The 14,107-nt window shown below is 51.8% G+C and overlaps 4 annotated features.

Annotated features, from left to right (window-relative positions):
* Nucleotides 1,617-2,610: an enhancer, noted in NCBI's record as "H3K27ac-H3K4me1 hESC enhancer chr19:4887083-4888076 (GRCh37/hg19 assembly coordinates)". NCBI's record gives its function as "activates a minimal SCP1, AML or CMV promoter by ChIP-STARR-seq in primed H9 embryonic stem cells {active_cell/tissue: H9 hESC(primed)}" and the evidence as "EXISTENCE:reporter gene assay evidence [ECO:0000049][PMID:30033119]".
* Nucleotides 10,365-11,246: an enhancer, noted in NCBI's record as "H3K27ac-H3K4me1 hESC enhancer chr19:4878447-4879328 (GRCh37/hg19 assembly coordinates)". NCBI's record gives its function as "activates a minimal SCP1, AML or CMV promoter by ChIP-STARR-seq in naive H9 embryonic stem cells {active_cell/tissue: H9 hESC(naive)}" and the evidence as "EXISTENCE:reporter gene assay evidence [ECO:0000049][PMID:30033119]".
* Nucleotides 10,773-10,952: a silencer, noted in NCBI's record as "silent region_9911". NCBI's record gives its function as "represses an Ori minimal core promoter by ATAC-STARR-seq in GM12878 lymphoblastoid cells {active_cell/tissue: GM12878}" and the evidence as "EXISTENCE:reporter gene assay evidence [ECO:0000049][PMID:35858748]".
* Nucleotides 11,247-12,130: an enhancer, noted in NCBI's record as "H3K27ac-H3K4me1 hESC enhancer chr19:4877563-4878446 (GRCh37/hg19 assembly coordinates)". NCBI's record gives its function as "activates a minimal SCP1, AML or CMV promoter by ChIP-STARR-seq in naive H9 embryonic stem cells {active_cell/tissue: H9 hESC(naive)}" and the evidence as "EXISTENCE:reporter gene assay evidence [ECO:0000049][PMID:30033119]".

The following is a 14,107-nucleotide window of genomic DNA, read 5'->3' as shown; positions in this document are numbered from 1 at the left end:
GCCCCAGGGCTGCTTTGTGGGTCTCATACCTGAGTCAGATCCTGTGTCTCCTCTGCTTACAGCAGCTTCGGCTTCCTCCCCCGCACTTAGGATCAATGCCAAAGTCTTCCTAGTGATGAGCCTGTGCCATCTGCCCATGTGCAATCCATCAATAAGCCAGAGGGGCTCGGTCTCCACACTGCCCAGAATCTCCCACTTCTCCCCGTCCCCTGCCTCTACCCTTCTCTGTCCACCTTTTTTGGTTTTGTGTTGTTTCTGAGACGGAGTCTCCCTCTGTCTCCCAGGCTGGAGTGCAGTGGTTTGATCTTGGCTCACTGCAGCCTCCACCTCCTGGATTCAAGCGATTCTCCTGCCTCAGCCTCCTGGGACACCGTGCCCGACCTAAATTGGATTTTAGAGGAAAGATAGAAATATTTAGTATAAGTATATCCCATGCAATATTTGGGATATACTTATGCTTAAAAATCATTCATTGATGGCCAGGCGCAGTGGCTCACATCTGTAATCCCAGCACTTCGGGAGGCTGAGGCAGGTAGATCACTTGAGGTCAGGAGGTCGAGACCTTCCTGGCCAACATGGAGAAAACCCATCTCTACAAAAAATACAAAAATTAGCCGGGCATGGTGGCGGGCACCTGTAATCCCAGCTACTCGGGAGGCTAAGGCAGGAGAATCGCTTGAACCTGGTAGGCAGAGGTTGCAGTGAGCCAAGATCGCACCACTGCACTCCAGCCTAGGTGACAAGAAGAAAACTCCGTCTCAAAAAAATATATATGTATACATATATAGGGAGAGAGAGAGAAAGCATGCAAAACTCCATCTCAAAAAAAATGTATTGTTTATCTGCAATTCTGATTTAATTGGGCATCCTGGATTTTCCCTGGCAATTGTATTCCTGGAGCAACAAGAGGACTCTCAACACCAAACAGGCCATCCCGTTCCTCCATCAGGTCCCTACAGCATTTGAAGTAAAATCCAAAAGTCCTGGCTTCGCCTGCAAGGCCCTGCATGGCTGAAAGGAAACAGCGGCTGAGGCTGGGCACGGCGGCTTGTGCCTGTAATCCCAGCACTTTGGGAGGCCAAGATGGGCAGATGTCTTGAGGTTAGGAGTTTGAGACCAGCCTGGCCAACATAGGGAGACCCTGTGTCTATTTTTTAATTTTTCTTTCTTTTTTCTTTTTTTTTTTTTTGAGACGGAGTCTCACTCTGTCGCCCAGGCTAGAGTGCAGTGGCGCAATCTTGGCTCAATGCAAGCTCTGTCTCCCGGGTTCATGACATTCTCCTGCCTCAGCCTCCTGAGTAGTTGGGACTACAGGCGCCTGCCACCACGCCTGGCTAATTTTTTTTGTATTTTTAGTAGAGACAGGGTTTCACCGTGTTAGCCAGGATGGTCTCGATCTCCCGACCTCGTGATCCACCCGCCTCGGCCTCCCAAAGTGCTGGGATTACAGGCATGAGCCACCACGCCCGACCTGTTTTTTAATTTCTCTTTATAATACTAAAATTAAATTAAATTAAATTTTAAAAAGACTGATCCAGGGTTTGTCTTCTTGGGGGAATGGCCCTGAAATACTTCTCCAGCCACCTTGGAACTGCAACATACTGGTACCTCCCTCCCCCTTGCTGCAGGGTGTCTGTCAACCCTGCAGCCATGACACATTTGCATTTAGTGGCCCCTGCCACATTCCAGCAGATTCCGGAAAACCCAGCCTCTCCATAGGGTGGGACCAACTAAGACACGTTGTTGATTTATTTATTTAAGACAGAGTCTTGCTGTGTTGCCAGGCTGGAGTGCAGTAGTAAAATCTCGGCTCACTGCAACCTCCGCCTCCCGGGTTCAAGCGATTCTCCTGCCTCAGCCTCCCTAGTAGTTGGGATCACAGGCACCTGCCACCACACCCAGCTAATTTTTGTATTTTCAGTAGAGACAGGGTTTCACCATGTTGGCCAGGATGGTCTCAATCTCCTGACCTCGTGATCTGCCTGCCTCAGGCTCCCAAAGTGCTGGGATTACAGGCACGAGCGACTGCGCCCGGACCTTTTTTTTTTTTTTTTTTGAGATGGAATTTCGCTCTTGTTGCCCAGGCTGGAGTGCAATGGCGTGATCTCGGCTCACCACAACCTCCGCCTCCTCAGTTGAAGCAATTCTGCTGCCTCAGCCTCCCAAGTAGCTGGTATTAAAGGCATGTGCCACCACACCTAGCTAATTTTGTACTTTTAGTAGAAATGGGGTTTCTCCATGTTGGTCAGGCTGGTCTCGAACTCCCGACCTCACATGGTCTGCAGGCCTTGGCCTCCCAGAGTGCTGGGATTACAGGCGTGAGCCACCGCACCCAGCTGAGACACTTAGTTTTTTTGTGTTGTACTGTTTTAGTTTTCTTAGAAACAGGATCTCGATCTGCCGCCCAGCACTTTGGGAGGCCGAGGTGGGCGGATCACTTGAGGTCAGGAGTGTGAGACCAGCCTGGCCAACATGGCGAAACCCTGTCTCTACTAAAAATACAAAAATTAGCTGGGCGTGGTGGCGTATGCCTGTAATCCCAGCTACTCAGGAGGCTGAGGCAGGAGAATCGCTTGAACTCGGGAGGTGAAGGTTGCAGTGAGCTGAGATCACGCCACTGCACTCCAGCTTGGGCAATAGAGTGAGACTCTGTCTTAAAAAAAAAAAAAAATGCCGGGGGCGGTGGCTCACGCCTGTAGTCCCAGCACTTTGGGAGGCTGAGACGAGTGGATCACCTGAGGTCAGGAGTTGGAGACCAGTCTGGCCAACATGGTGAAACACCATGCCTACTAAAAATACAAAAAATTATCAGGGCATGGTGGCGGGCGCCTGTAATCCCAGCTACTCGGGAGGCTGAGGCAGGAGAATTGCTTGAACCCGGGAGGCGGAGATTGCAGTGAGCCAAGGTCGCACCACTGCACTCCAGCCTAGATGACAAGAGCAAAACTCTGTCTCAAAAAAAAAAAAAAATATATATATATATAGAGAGAGAGAGAGAGAGAGAGAGAGAGAGAGAGAGAGACAGTGCACAAAACTCTGTCTCAAAAAAAATGTATTGTTTATCTGCAATTCTGATTTAATTGGGCATCCTGAATTTTACCTGTCAATTGTATTCCTGGAGCAACAAAAGAACTCTCAGCATGAAAAAGGCCATCCTGTTCCCTCACTGAAAATCTCCATCAGGTCCCTACAGCATTTGAAGTAAAATCCAAAAGGCCTGGCTTTGCCTGCAAGGCCCTGCATGGCTGAAATGAAACAGCGGCTGAGGCTGGGCGCTGTGGCTCGTGTCTGTAATCCCAGCACTTTGGGAGGCCAAGGTGGGCAGATGTCTTTGAGGTTAGGAGTTTGAGACCAGCCTGGCCAACATAGGGAGACCCTGTGTCTAGTTTTTAATTTTTCTTTGTCTTTTTTTTTTGAGACGGAGTCTTGCTCTGTCGTACAGGCTGGAGTGCAGTGGCGGGATCTCGGCTCACTGCAAGCTCCGCCTCCCGGTTTCACACCATTCTCCTGCCTCAGTCTCCCGAATAGCTGGGACTATAGGTGTCCGCCGCCACGCCTGGCTAATTTTTTTTGTATTTTTAGTAGAGACGGGGTTTCACCATGTTAGCCAGGATGGTCTCGATCTCCCGACCTCGTGATCCGCCCGCCTCGGCCTCCCAAAGTGCTGGGATTACAGGCATGAGCCACCACGCCCGGCCTGTTTTTTAAATTTTTCTTTATAATACTAAAATTAAATTAAATTTTAAAAAGACTGATCCAGGGTTTGTCTTCTTGGGGGAATGGCCCTGAAATACTTCTCCAGCCACCTTCGAACTGCAACATACTGGTACCTCCCTCCCTCTTGCTGCAGGGTGTCTGTCAACCCTGCAGCCATGACACATTTGCATTTAGTGACCCCTGCCACATTCCAGCAGATTCCGGAAAACCCAGCCTCTCCATAGGGTGGGACCAACTAAGACACTTTATTGATTTATTTATTTAAGACAGAGTCTTGCTGTGTTGCCAGGCTGGAGTGCAGTAGTGCAATGTCGGCTCACTGCAACCTCCGCCTCCCGGGTTCAAGCGATTCTCCTGCCTCAGCCTCCCGAGTAGCTGGGATTACAGGCGCCTGCCACCATGCCCGGCTAATTTTTGTATTTTTAGTAGAGACGGGGTTTCACCGTGTTAGCCAGGATGGTCTCGATCTCCCGACCTCGTGATCCGCCCGCCTCGGCCTCCCAAAGTGCTGGGATTACAGGCATGAGCCACCACGCCCGGCCCGTTTTTTAATTTTTCTTTATAATACTAAAATTAAATTAAATTAAATTTTAAAAAGACTGGTCCAGGGTTTGTCTTCTTGGGGGAATGGCCCTGAAATACTTCTCCAGCCACCTTCGAACTGCAACATACTGGTACCTCCCTCCCTCTTGCTGCAGGGTGTCTGTCAACCCTGCAGCCATGACACATTTGCATTTAGTGGCCCCTGCCACATTCCAGCAGATTCCGGAAAACCCAGCCTCTCCATAGGGTGGGACCAACTAAGACACTTTATTGATTTATTTATTTAAGACAGAGTCTTGCTGTGTTGCCAGGCTGGAGTGCAGTAGTAAAATCTCGACTCACTGCAACCTCCGCCTCCCGGGTTCAAGCGATTCTCCTACCTCAGCCTCCCTAGTAGTTGGGATCACAGGCACCTGCCACCACACCCAGCTAATTTTTGTATTTTCAGTAGAGACAGGGTTTCACCATGTTGGCCAGGATGGTCCCAATCTCCTGACCTTGTGATCCACCTGCCTTAGCCTCCCAAAGTGTTGGGATTACAGGCATGAGCCACCACGCCTAGTCTTTTTTGTTTTTGTTTTTGAGAAGGAGTTTCACTCTTGTTGCCCAGGTTGGAGTGCAATGGCATGATCTCGGCTCACCAGAACCTCTGCCTCCTGGGTTCAAGCAATTCTCCTGCCTCAGCCTTGCGAGTAGCTGGGATTACAGGCATGCACCACCACACCAGGCTAATTTTGTATTTTTAGTAGAAACGGGGTTTCTCCATGTTGGTCAGGCTGGTCTCAAACTCCCGACCTCACATGGTCTGCAGGCCTCGGCCTCCCAGAGTGCTGGGATTACAGGTGTGAGCCACCGCACCCAGCCAAGACACTTAGTTTTTTTGTGTTGTACTGTTTTCTTGCAGACAGGATCTCGATCTGTTGCCCAGCACTTTGGGAGGCCGAAGCGATCGGATCACTTGAGGTCAGGAGTGTGAGACCAGCCTCGCCAACATGGTGAAACCCCATCTCTACTAAAAATGCAAAAATTAGCTGGGCGTGGTGGCAGGTGCCTGTAATCCCAGCTACTCAGGAGGCTGAGGCACGAGAATCCCTTAAACCCAGTAGCCAAAGGTTGCAGTGAGCTGAAATCACACCACTGCACTCCAGTCAGGGTGACAGAGACTGTCTCAAAAAAAAAAAAGAAAAAAAAATGCCGGGGGCGGTGGCTCACGCCTGTAATCTCAGCACTTTGGGAGGCTGAGACCAGCGGATCACCTGAGGTCAGGAGTTGGAGACCAGTCTGGCCAACATGGTGAAACCCCGTGCCTACTAAAAATACAAAAAATTAGCAGGGCGTCGTGGCAGGCCCTGTAATCCCAGCTACTCGGGAGGCTGAGGCAGGAGAATCGCTTGAACCCGGGAAGCGGAGATTGCAGTGAGCCAAGATCGTGTCACTGCACTCCAGCCTGGGCAACAAGAGTGAAACTCCGTCTCAAAAAAAAAGAAATAGACATGAATCGACAAATTCTACCAATAAAGTGTCAAAAGGCTTCTCTGCCACGTTCCCCATTGGACAGATGCATAGCGGCTCGTTATCGGAGCTCCACGAAAGCTTTCCTAAGGAAGCAGTGCTTGAAATGAGATCTGAAGGATTCGCACAGTTGGCTAGGCAGAAAACAGGGAAGAGTGTGCCAGGCAGAGGGAACAGCCTGTGCAAAGGCCTGGCATATAAGGGAACATGACAGGAGCATGGAACTGAAAGTAGACTAGTGTCGCTGAAGCAAGCCTGGGGCCAGGTGACACCCACAGAGGGATTTTGAAAAAAGAGACTGCTGGGCCAGGTGCGGTGGCTCACACCTGTAATCTCAGCACTTTGGGAGGCCGAGGCAGGTGGATCACGAGGTCAGGAGTTCAAGACCATCCTGGCTAACATGGTGAAACCCCGTCTCTACTAAAAATACAAAAAATACAGCTGCTCAAGAAGCTGAGGCAGAAGAATGGCGTGAACCCGGGAGGCGGAGCTTGCGGTGAGCCGAGATCACGCCACTGCACTCCAGCCTGGGCAACAAAGCGAGACTCCGTCTCAAAAAAAAAAAAAAAAAAAAGAAAGAAACAGAAAAAAAAGACTGCTGGCCGGGCGCGGTGGCTCATGCCTGTAATCTCGGCACTTTGGGAGGCCAAGGTGGGTGGATCATGAGGTCAGCAGTTCAAGACCATCCTGGCTAACACGGTAAAACCCCGTCTCTACTAAAAATACAAAAAAATTGGCCAGCTGTAGTGGCAGGTGCCTGTAATCCCAGCTACTCCAGAGGCTGAGGCAGGAGAATGGAGTGAACCCGGGAGGCGGAGCTTGCAGTGAGCTGAGATCACACCACTGCCCTCCAGCCTGGGCAACAGAGTGAGACTCCGTCTCAAAAAAAAAAAAAGATAAAGAAAACAAAAAGAAAACAGACTGCTGTAATGACAATTGCATTTTGTTCTTTTTTCTTTTTTCAAGATCTCGAAGTTTAATAACAATTGCCTTTTTTTTTTTTTTTGAGACAGGGTCTCACTCTGTTGACCAGGCTGGAGTAGAGTGGCACGATCTTGGCTCACTGTAACCTCCGCCCCCCAGGTTCAAGCAATCCAGTCCTCACACCTCAGCCTCCCTAGTAGCTAGTAGCTAGGATTACAGGTGCAAGCCACCTTGCCTGGCTAATTTTTGTATTTTTTGGTAGAGACGGCGTTTCACCACATTAGCCAGGCTGGTCTCAAACTCCTGACCTCAAGTGATCCGCCCGCTTCAGCCTCCCAAAGTGCTGGGATTACAGGTGTGAGCCACTGCCGCCAGCCACAATTGCATTTTTGTTTTTTTTTGAGATGGAGTTTCGCTCTGTTACCCAGGCTAGAGTGCAGTGCCGCAATCTCGGCTCACTGCAACCTCCGCCTCCCGGGTTCAAGTGATTCTCCTGCCTCAGTCTTCTGAGTAGCTGGGATTACAGGTGGATGCCACCATGCCCGCCTAATTTTTGTATTTTCAGTAGAGACAGGGTTTCGCCATGTTGGCCAGGCTGGTCTCAACCTTCTGACTTCAAGTGATCTGCTCACCTCGGCCTCCCAAAGTGCTGTGATTACAGGCATAAGCCATTGCGCCCCACCGGATTCATGTCTCTCTCTCTCTCTTTTTTTTTGTTTTGAGACAGAGTCTCGCTCTGTCACCCAGGGTGGAATGCAGTGGCTCGCTCTTGGCTCACTGCAACCTCTGCCTCCCCAGTTCAAGTGATTCTCCTGCCTCAGCCTCCTGAGTAGCTGGGATTACAGGCACCCACCACCACGCCTGGCTAATTTTTGTATCTTTTGTAGAGACGGGGTTTCACCATATTGGCCAGGCTGGTCTCGAACTCCTGACCTCATAATCCCTCCGCCTCTGCCTCCCAAAGTGCTGGGATTACAGGCGTAAGCCACGGCACCCAGCATCTACTTCTTTTTAAATTTTTCTTGTATGGCCGGGTGCGGTGGCTCACGCCTGTAATCCCAGCACTGTGGGTGGCCGAGGCTGTCGGATCACGAGGTCAGGAGTTCAAGACCAGCCTGGCCAATATGGTGAAATCCCGTCTCTCCTAAAAATACAAAAAATTAGCCGGGCATGGTGGTGGGTACCTGTAGTCCCAGCTACTCGGGAGGCTGAGGCAGGAGAATTGCTTGAACCTGGGAGGCGGAGGTTGCAGTGAGCCGACATCGTGCCACTGCATGCCAGCCTGGGTGACAGAGCGAGACTCCATCTCAAAAAAAAAAAGAAAAGTTTCTTGTAGAGATGTGGTCTTTCGATGTTGCCCAGGCTAGTCTTGAACTCATGGGATCAAGCAATCCTCCTGCCTCAGCCTCCCAAACTGTTGTGATTACAGACAAGAGCCACCACATTCAGTCAATTCATGTCTATTTCTTCCTCTAAGCCAATGCTAGTGATCATGAGAGCCACAAATGTAATTTTATTTTATTTTTTATTTTATTTTTTTCAAATAGAGATGGGGGTCTCACTGTGTTGTCCAGGCTGGTTTTGAACTCCTGACCTCAAGTGATGCTCCCATCTTGGCCTCCCAAAGTGCTGGGATTACAGGTGTGAGCCACCACACCTGGCCACAAATGTTAATTTTAAATTTCCTAGGCCAGGCAAGGTGGCTCACGCCTGTAATCCCAGCACTTTGGGAAGCCGAGGCAGGCAGATCACCTGAGGTCGGGAGTTCAGGACAGCCTGGCCAACATGGTGAAACCCCGTTTCTACTAAAAATACAAAAATTATAGGTGGGAATTGAACAATGAGAACACGTGGACACAGGAAGAGGAACATCACACACCCGGGCCTGTCGTGGGGTGAGGGGAGGGGGGAGGGATAGCATTAGGAGGTATACCTAATGTAAATGACGAGTTAATGGGTGCAGCACACCAACATGGCACATGTATACATATGTAACAAACCTGCACGTTGTGCACATGTACCCTAGAATTTAAAGTATAATAATAAAAAAAAAAAGAAACTGGAAACATTGAAAAACAAAAACAAAAACAAAAATTAGCCAGGTGTGGTGGTACATGTCTGTAATCCCAGCTACTTGGGAGGCTGAGGCAGGAGAATGGCTTGAACCCAGGAGGCAGAGGTTCTGCACTCCGGCTTGGGCAACAAAGCGAGACTCTGTCTCAAAAAAAAAAAAAGGAAGAAATGTTTGTGGCTTGAATAGTAACAATAGTGATCTAGGTCACATTTCTTGGGCCCTCACTTTGAGCATGACACTGTCTTAAGCCAGTTACCTGCATCATCTCATGTAGTCCAGACAGCAACCCTGAGGAAGATACCACTACCAATGCCCAGGAACTGAGGATCAGAGAGGTTCATTGATTTGCCCAAGGTCACACAGCAAACTCACTGCAGAGCCAGGACTCAAAACCAGTTCAACCAAACCGGTGATGTGAACCACTGTGAATACTCACTGCTTGCCTAAACTCTGACAGTTAGGCTGATATGAACGACCCCAGGATGGGAAATGTATGTATGTATGTATGTATGTATGTATGTATGTATGTATGTATAGTATGTATGTATTTTTGAGACAGAGTCTCACTCTGTCGACAAGGGTGGAGTGCAGTTGTGTGATCTCGGCTCACTGCAACCTCCATCTCCCAGGTTCAAGCGATTCTCCTGGCTCGGTCTCCTGAGTGGCTGGGATTACAGGCGCGTGCCACCACGGCTGGCTAATTTTTATATTTTTAGTAGAGACAGGGTTTCGCCATATTGGCCAGGCTGGTCTCAAACTCCTGACCTCAAGTGATCTGCCTGCCTCGGCCTCCCAAAGTGCTGGGATTACAGGCGTGAGCCACCGCGCATAACTGTACATGAGGGGTGGGTTCCTTCTCTGCGGCAAGGCCATCCTGGGTACTGAAGAGTGCTGAGCAGCATCCCCGGCCCCCACCCCCTCCATATCAGGAGCAACCCCCAGTCATGACAACCACAAATGTCCCCAGACATCACCCCATGGGCCCTGAAGGACAGACTCACCCCTGGTTGAGAGCTACACTGTACAGTATATACTTGGAGGCCTCTGTGGAGTTAATATATCTGATAGTAAATGCTATGCATGAGAATCCCACTTCTGATGTTTATTAATTATTATTATTATTATTATTTTGTTTTGAGTTGGAGTCACGCTCCAGTCTCAGGCTGGAGTGCAGTGGCGCGATCATAGCTCACTGCAACCTCAAGCTCCTGGGCTCAAACGATCTGCCCACCTCAGCTTCCCAAAGTGCTGGGATTATAAGCATGAGCCATGGCGCCCGGCCTCTGCTGTTTTGTTGTTGGTGTTGTTGTTGTTATTGTTGTTGTTTTGGGACAGAGTCTTGCTGTCTTGCCAAGGCTGGAATGCAGTGGCGCCATCTTGGCTCACCGCAACCTCCACCCCTGCCCTGGGTTCAAGCAATTCTCATGCCTCGGCCTCCCAAGTAGCTGGGATTACAGGCACCCGCCACCACACCTGGCTGATTTTTGTATTTTTAGTAGATACATGGTTTCACCGTGTTGTCCAGGCTGGTCTCACACCCCTGACCTCAGGTGATTCACCGGCCTCAGCCTCCTGAAGTGCTGGGATTACAGGCACCCGCCACCACACCTGGCTGATTTTTATATTTTTAGTAGAGACAGGGTTTCACCGTGTGGTCCAGGCTGGTCTCACACTCCTGACCTCAGGTGATTCACCCGCCTTGGCCTCCTGAAGTGCTGGGATTACAGGCGTCTGAGCCACCGCGCCTGGCCTCGGCTGTTTATTTGCTGAATGACTTTGGGCCAGTCGCTTCTGTTTCTGAGCCTCAGTTTCCCCATGTGTAAAAGGGGGATTTATTCCTAGCATCTTCCTCCGGAACACACTGGATTAAACCAGCCAATGCATATAAATGGCCTGAACCAAAGTCACCACTCACTCCATAGGCACCACCATTACCCCAGCGGGACTCTTCTGGAAGATTCTGATCTGCTGTACAGCACCCCCAGCGGGTCCCTGCCCCCTCCTTGCCAGCTGCCTCCCATTTCCAGGCCCTAGACTCAGTGGACCACACAGGCGGGCGTTGGGGACACTTCCTGTGCAGCGGCAGCAGTACCCGCCACGCCAGGTGGGCCAACGGGAGAATGCAGCTGGGGCCGCCCCACTTCCTGCCCCCGTGGAGGGGCCTCTCATTCTCCCTGGTCCCTACTCCCAAAATAACCCTCCCCCGCCCCGGGAACCAAAGTCACCCACACCAGCTGCGGCCTCCCACTTGGGGGACGTGGGACAGGCAGGGGACTAGCAGCTGCCACCACCACGGTGCCTGCCCCGCTGGGAACGTCCACCCCCTGTTGCCACCACCTCCGACATTCCAATCCCCAAAAGTGCGGGGGGTGACCCGGCCTCCCTCGTCGTCCGGGAAATATGAACTCCAAGGAAGCCGGGCTGGCGGGGAGGAGGGAGATCCTCGGCCACCTTAGGTGACCGGGGACCCTCCCTGACCTGAACCCCCAGGCCTGAGGCGCCCCCAGTTTTCACCTCGTGTGACTGTGTTGGGGAAAAGGGGGTGGTTGCCAGGACAACAGCCCCCCACCTCCGCCCAGGGAACAAAGAGGCAGCCGGGAGAGCCAAGAACGGCCTGTTCTCTCCCCGCCAATGCGGCTGGCACATCCTGGCAGCTGGCACTGGGAGGGCCGTGCCCAGAGCCGCCAGGCCTGGCCATCCTGGACACGGTTCTCCAGGGAGGGATTGGCTGTGGGGGTGGCTGCGGCCCCAAGGAATGGAGTTGCAGGGGCCCGTGGGATCGGATTCCCAGGCAGCTGCCCCAGGCCTCCATCCTTCCCGGACATGGACAAGGAATCTGCCTGCCTGCAGGACTTGTGGGAGGCCCAAGAAGTCGTAAATGTCTGGCTCAGAGCCGGACGGGCCACCAGGGACGGAGGGTGCAGGAGACAATGGCCAGGTGGAGGCCTGGCCCGGGGTCCCCTCGGGCATTCCACGGATGGGCATGCGAGCCAGTAGGACACTCCTGGCCTAGGAGAGGGGACAGTGGGTCTCAGAGCTGCTCCCCTCCCCCACGCCCGCCAGCGCCTTGCAGGGGGCAGCGGGCAGCTGGCGCCATGAGGGCCTGGGGGTGGGGACAGGCCAGGGCCTGCATGTTAAAAGACCCCTGGCTTCCTGCAGCGAGCCCAAATAATTGCCAGACAAAATCCTCTGCCTTCTCACCGTTGGGCCACAGCTGGTCAGGTGTCCACCCGGTCGCTGGAGCCACAATGTGGCGGGGGGCAACGTGGACAACGTCTGGCTGAGTTGCCAGGTTAATTACAAGACAGGCAGTTAAACGAATTATTGTTGTTGTTATTATTAGTATTTGTTTTTGTTTTTATTTTGAGACGGAGTTTTGCTTTTGTTGCCCAGGATGGAGTGCAATGGCGTGATCTTGGCTCACTGCAACCTCCGCCTCCTGGGTTCAAGTGAGTCTCCTGCCTCAGTTTCCTGAGCAGCAGAGATTACAGGCACATGTCACCACATCCGGCTAATTTTTTGTATTTTTAGTAGAGACGGGGTTTCACCATGTTGGCCAGGCTGGTCTCAAACTCCTGACCTCAGGTGATCCACTCCACCCCCTCGGCCTCCCAAAGTACTGGGATGACAGGTGTGAGCCGTCGCACCCGGCCATTATTATTATTTTTTGAGACAGATTCTCCCTCTGTCACCCAGGCTGGAGTGCGGTGGTGCGATCTTGGCTGACAGGAACCTCTGCCTCCCAGGTTCAAGGGATTCTCCTGCCTCAGCCTCCGAAGTAGCCGGGATTACAAACGTACGCCACCACACCCAGCTGATTTTTGTATTTTTAGTAGAGACGGGGTTTCACCATGTTGGCAAGGCTGGTCTCCAACTCCTGACCTCAAGTGATCTGCCCACCTCAGCCTCCCAAAATGCTGAGATTACAGGTGTGAGCCACTGTGCCCGGCCAAAATGAATTATTATTATTATTATTATTATTTTGAGACAAGGTCTTGCTCTGTCACCCAGGCTGGAGTACAGTGGTGCCATCATAGTTCACGGCAGCCCTGACCTCCTGGGCTCAAGCAATCTTCCTGCCTCTGTCTCCGAAAGCACCGGGATTATAGGCGTGAGCCACTGAACTCCATTAAATGAAAAATGTTTAGCATAAGTATGTCTCAAAATAATTTGGAACATACTTACGCTAAAAATTATTCACATGGCCAGGCGTGGTGGCTCACACTAGTAATCCCAGCACTTTGGGAGGCCAAGGTGGGAGGATTACTTGAGCCCAGGAGTTTAAGACCAGCCTGGGCAACATGGTGGGACCCCCACCTGTATGAAAAATACAAAAATTAGCCCGATGTGGTGGCATGCACCTGTACTCCCAGCTACTTGGGAGGCTGAGGTAAGAGGATCGCTTAGGTCCAGGATGTCGAGGCTGCAGTGAGCCCTGATTGTACCACTGCACTCCAGCCTGAGCAGCAGAGCAAGACCCTGTCTCAAAAGAAAAACAAAGGCCGGGCGCAGTGGCTCACACCTGTAATCCCAACACTTTGGGAGGCCGAGGCAGGCAGATCATGAGGTCAGGAGATCGAGACCATCCTGGCTAACACGGTGAAACCCCATCTCTACTAAAAATACAAAAAAAAATTAGCCGGGCATGGTGGGCGTCTGTAGTCCCAGCTACTTGGGAGGCTGAGGCAGGAGAATTGGCGTGAACCCGGGAGGCAGAGCTTGCAGTGAGCCAAGATCACGCCACTGCACTCCAGCCTGGGCGACAGAGCGAGACTCCGTAAAAAAAAAAAAAAAAAAAAAAAAAAAAAAGAAGTGTAGCTGAGATTTGCATTTAACCAGGTGTCCTGTATTTTTATTTGCTAACCCTGCAACCTTACGCCAGGGGTTCTGGAAGAGGCAAGCTGAGCTCATCCTCATCCATATCCCCCAACGTGCTTCTCTGCTGGGTCCCTGCCTCAAGGTTGGCCCTGCCCCCGGAACCCCCAACCCGAGGCCTGTGTCAGCCTCACCTGTCCACTTTCCGTCTACAGTCTCTCTCTCCTCTGCCCGCACCCCCTGCAGACCCTCTGCGGACCGTCACCTCCCACTGGCCCTCCCAGAGCCCCCAGGCCCCTGCCAGTCCCTGCATCTCACAGGCCCCTTCCCTTCCCCAGAGGCCTGATGAGGGCCCTCCCCTGCTCTGAATCCAACATTGCTGCCCATTGCTCCCAAGATAAAGACCAGGCCCTGGCCAGGCGCGGTGGCTCATGCCTGTAATCCCAGCACTGTGGGAGGCCGAGGCGGGTGGATCACTTGAGGCCAGGAGTTTGAGACCAGCCTGGCCAACATGGTGAAACC

Source organism: Homo sapiens, chromosome 19, assembly GCF_000001405.40.
Source record: "Homo sapiens chromosome 19, GRCh38.p14 Primary Assembly".
NCBI classification, from domain to species: domain Eukaryota; kingdom Metazoa; phylum Chordata; class Mammalia; order Primates; family Hominidae; genus Homo; species Homo sapiens.
Note: the sequence above shows the minus strand (reverse complement) of the source record. Positions and strands in the feature narration are given on the sequence as shown.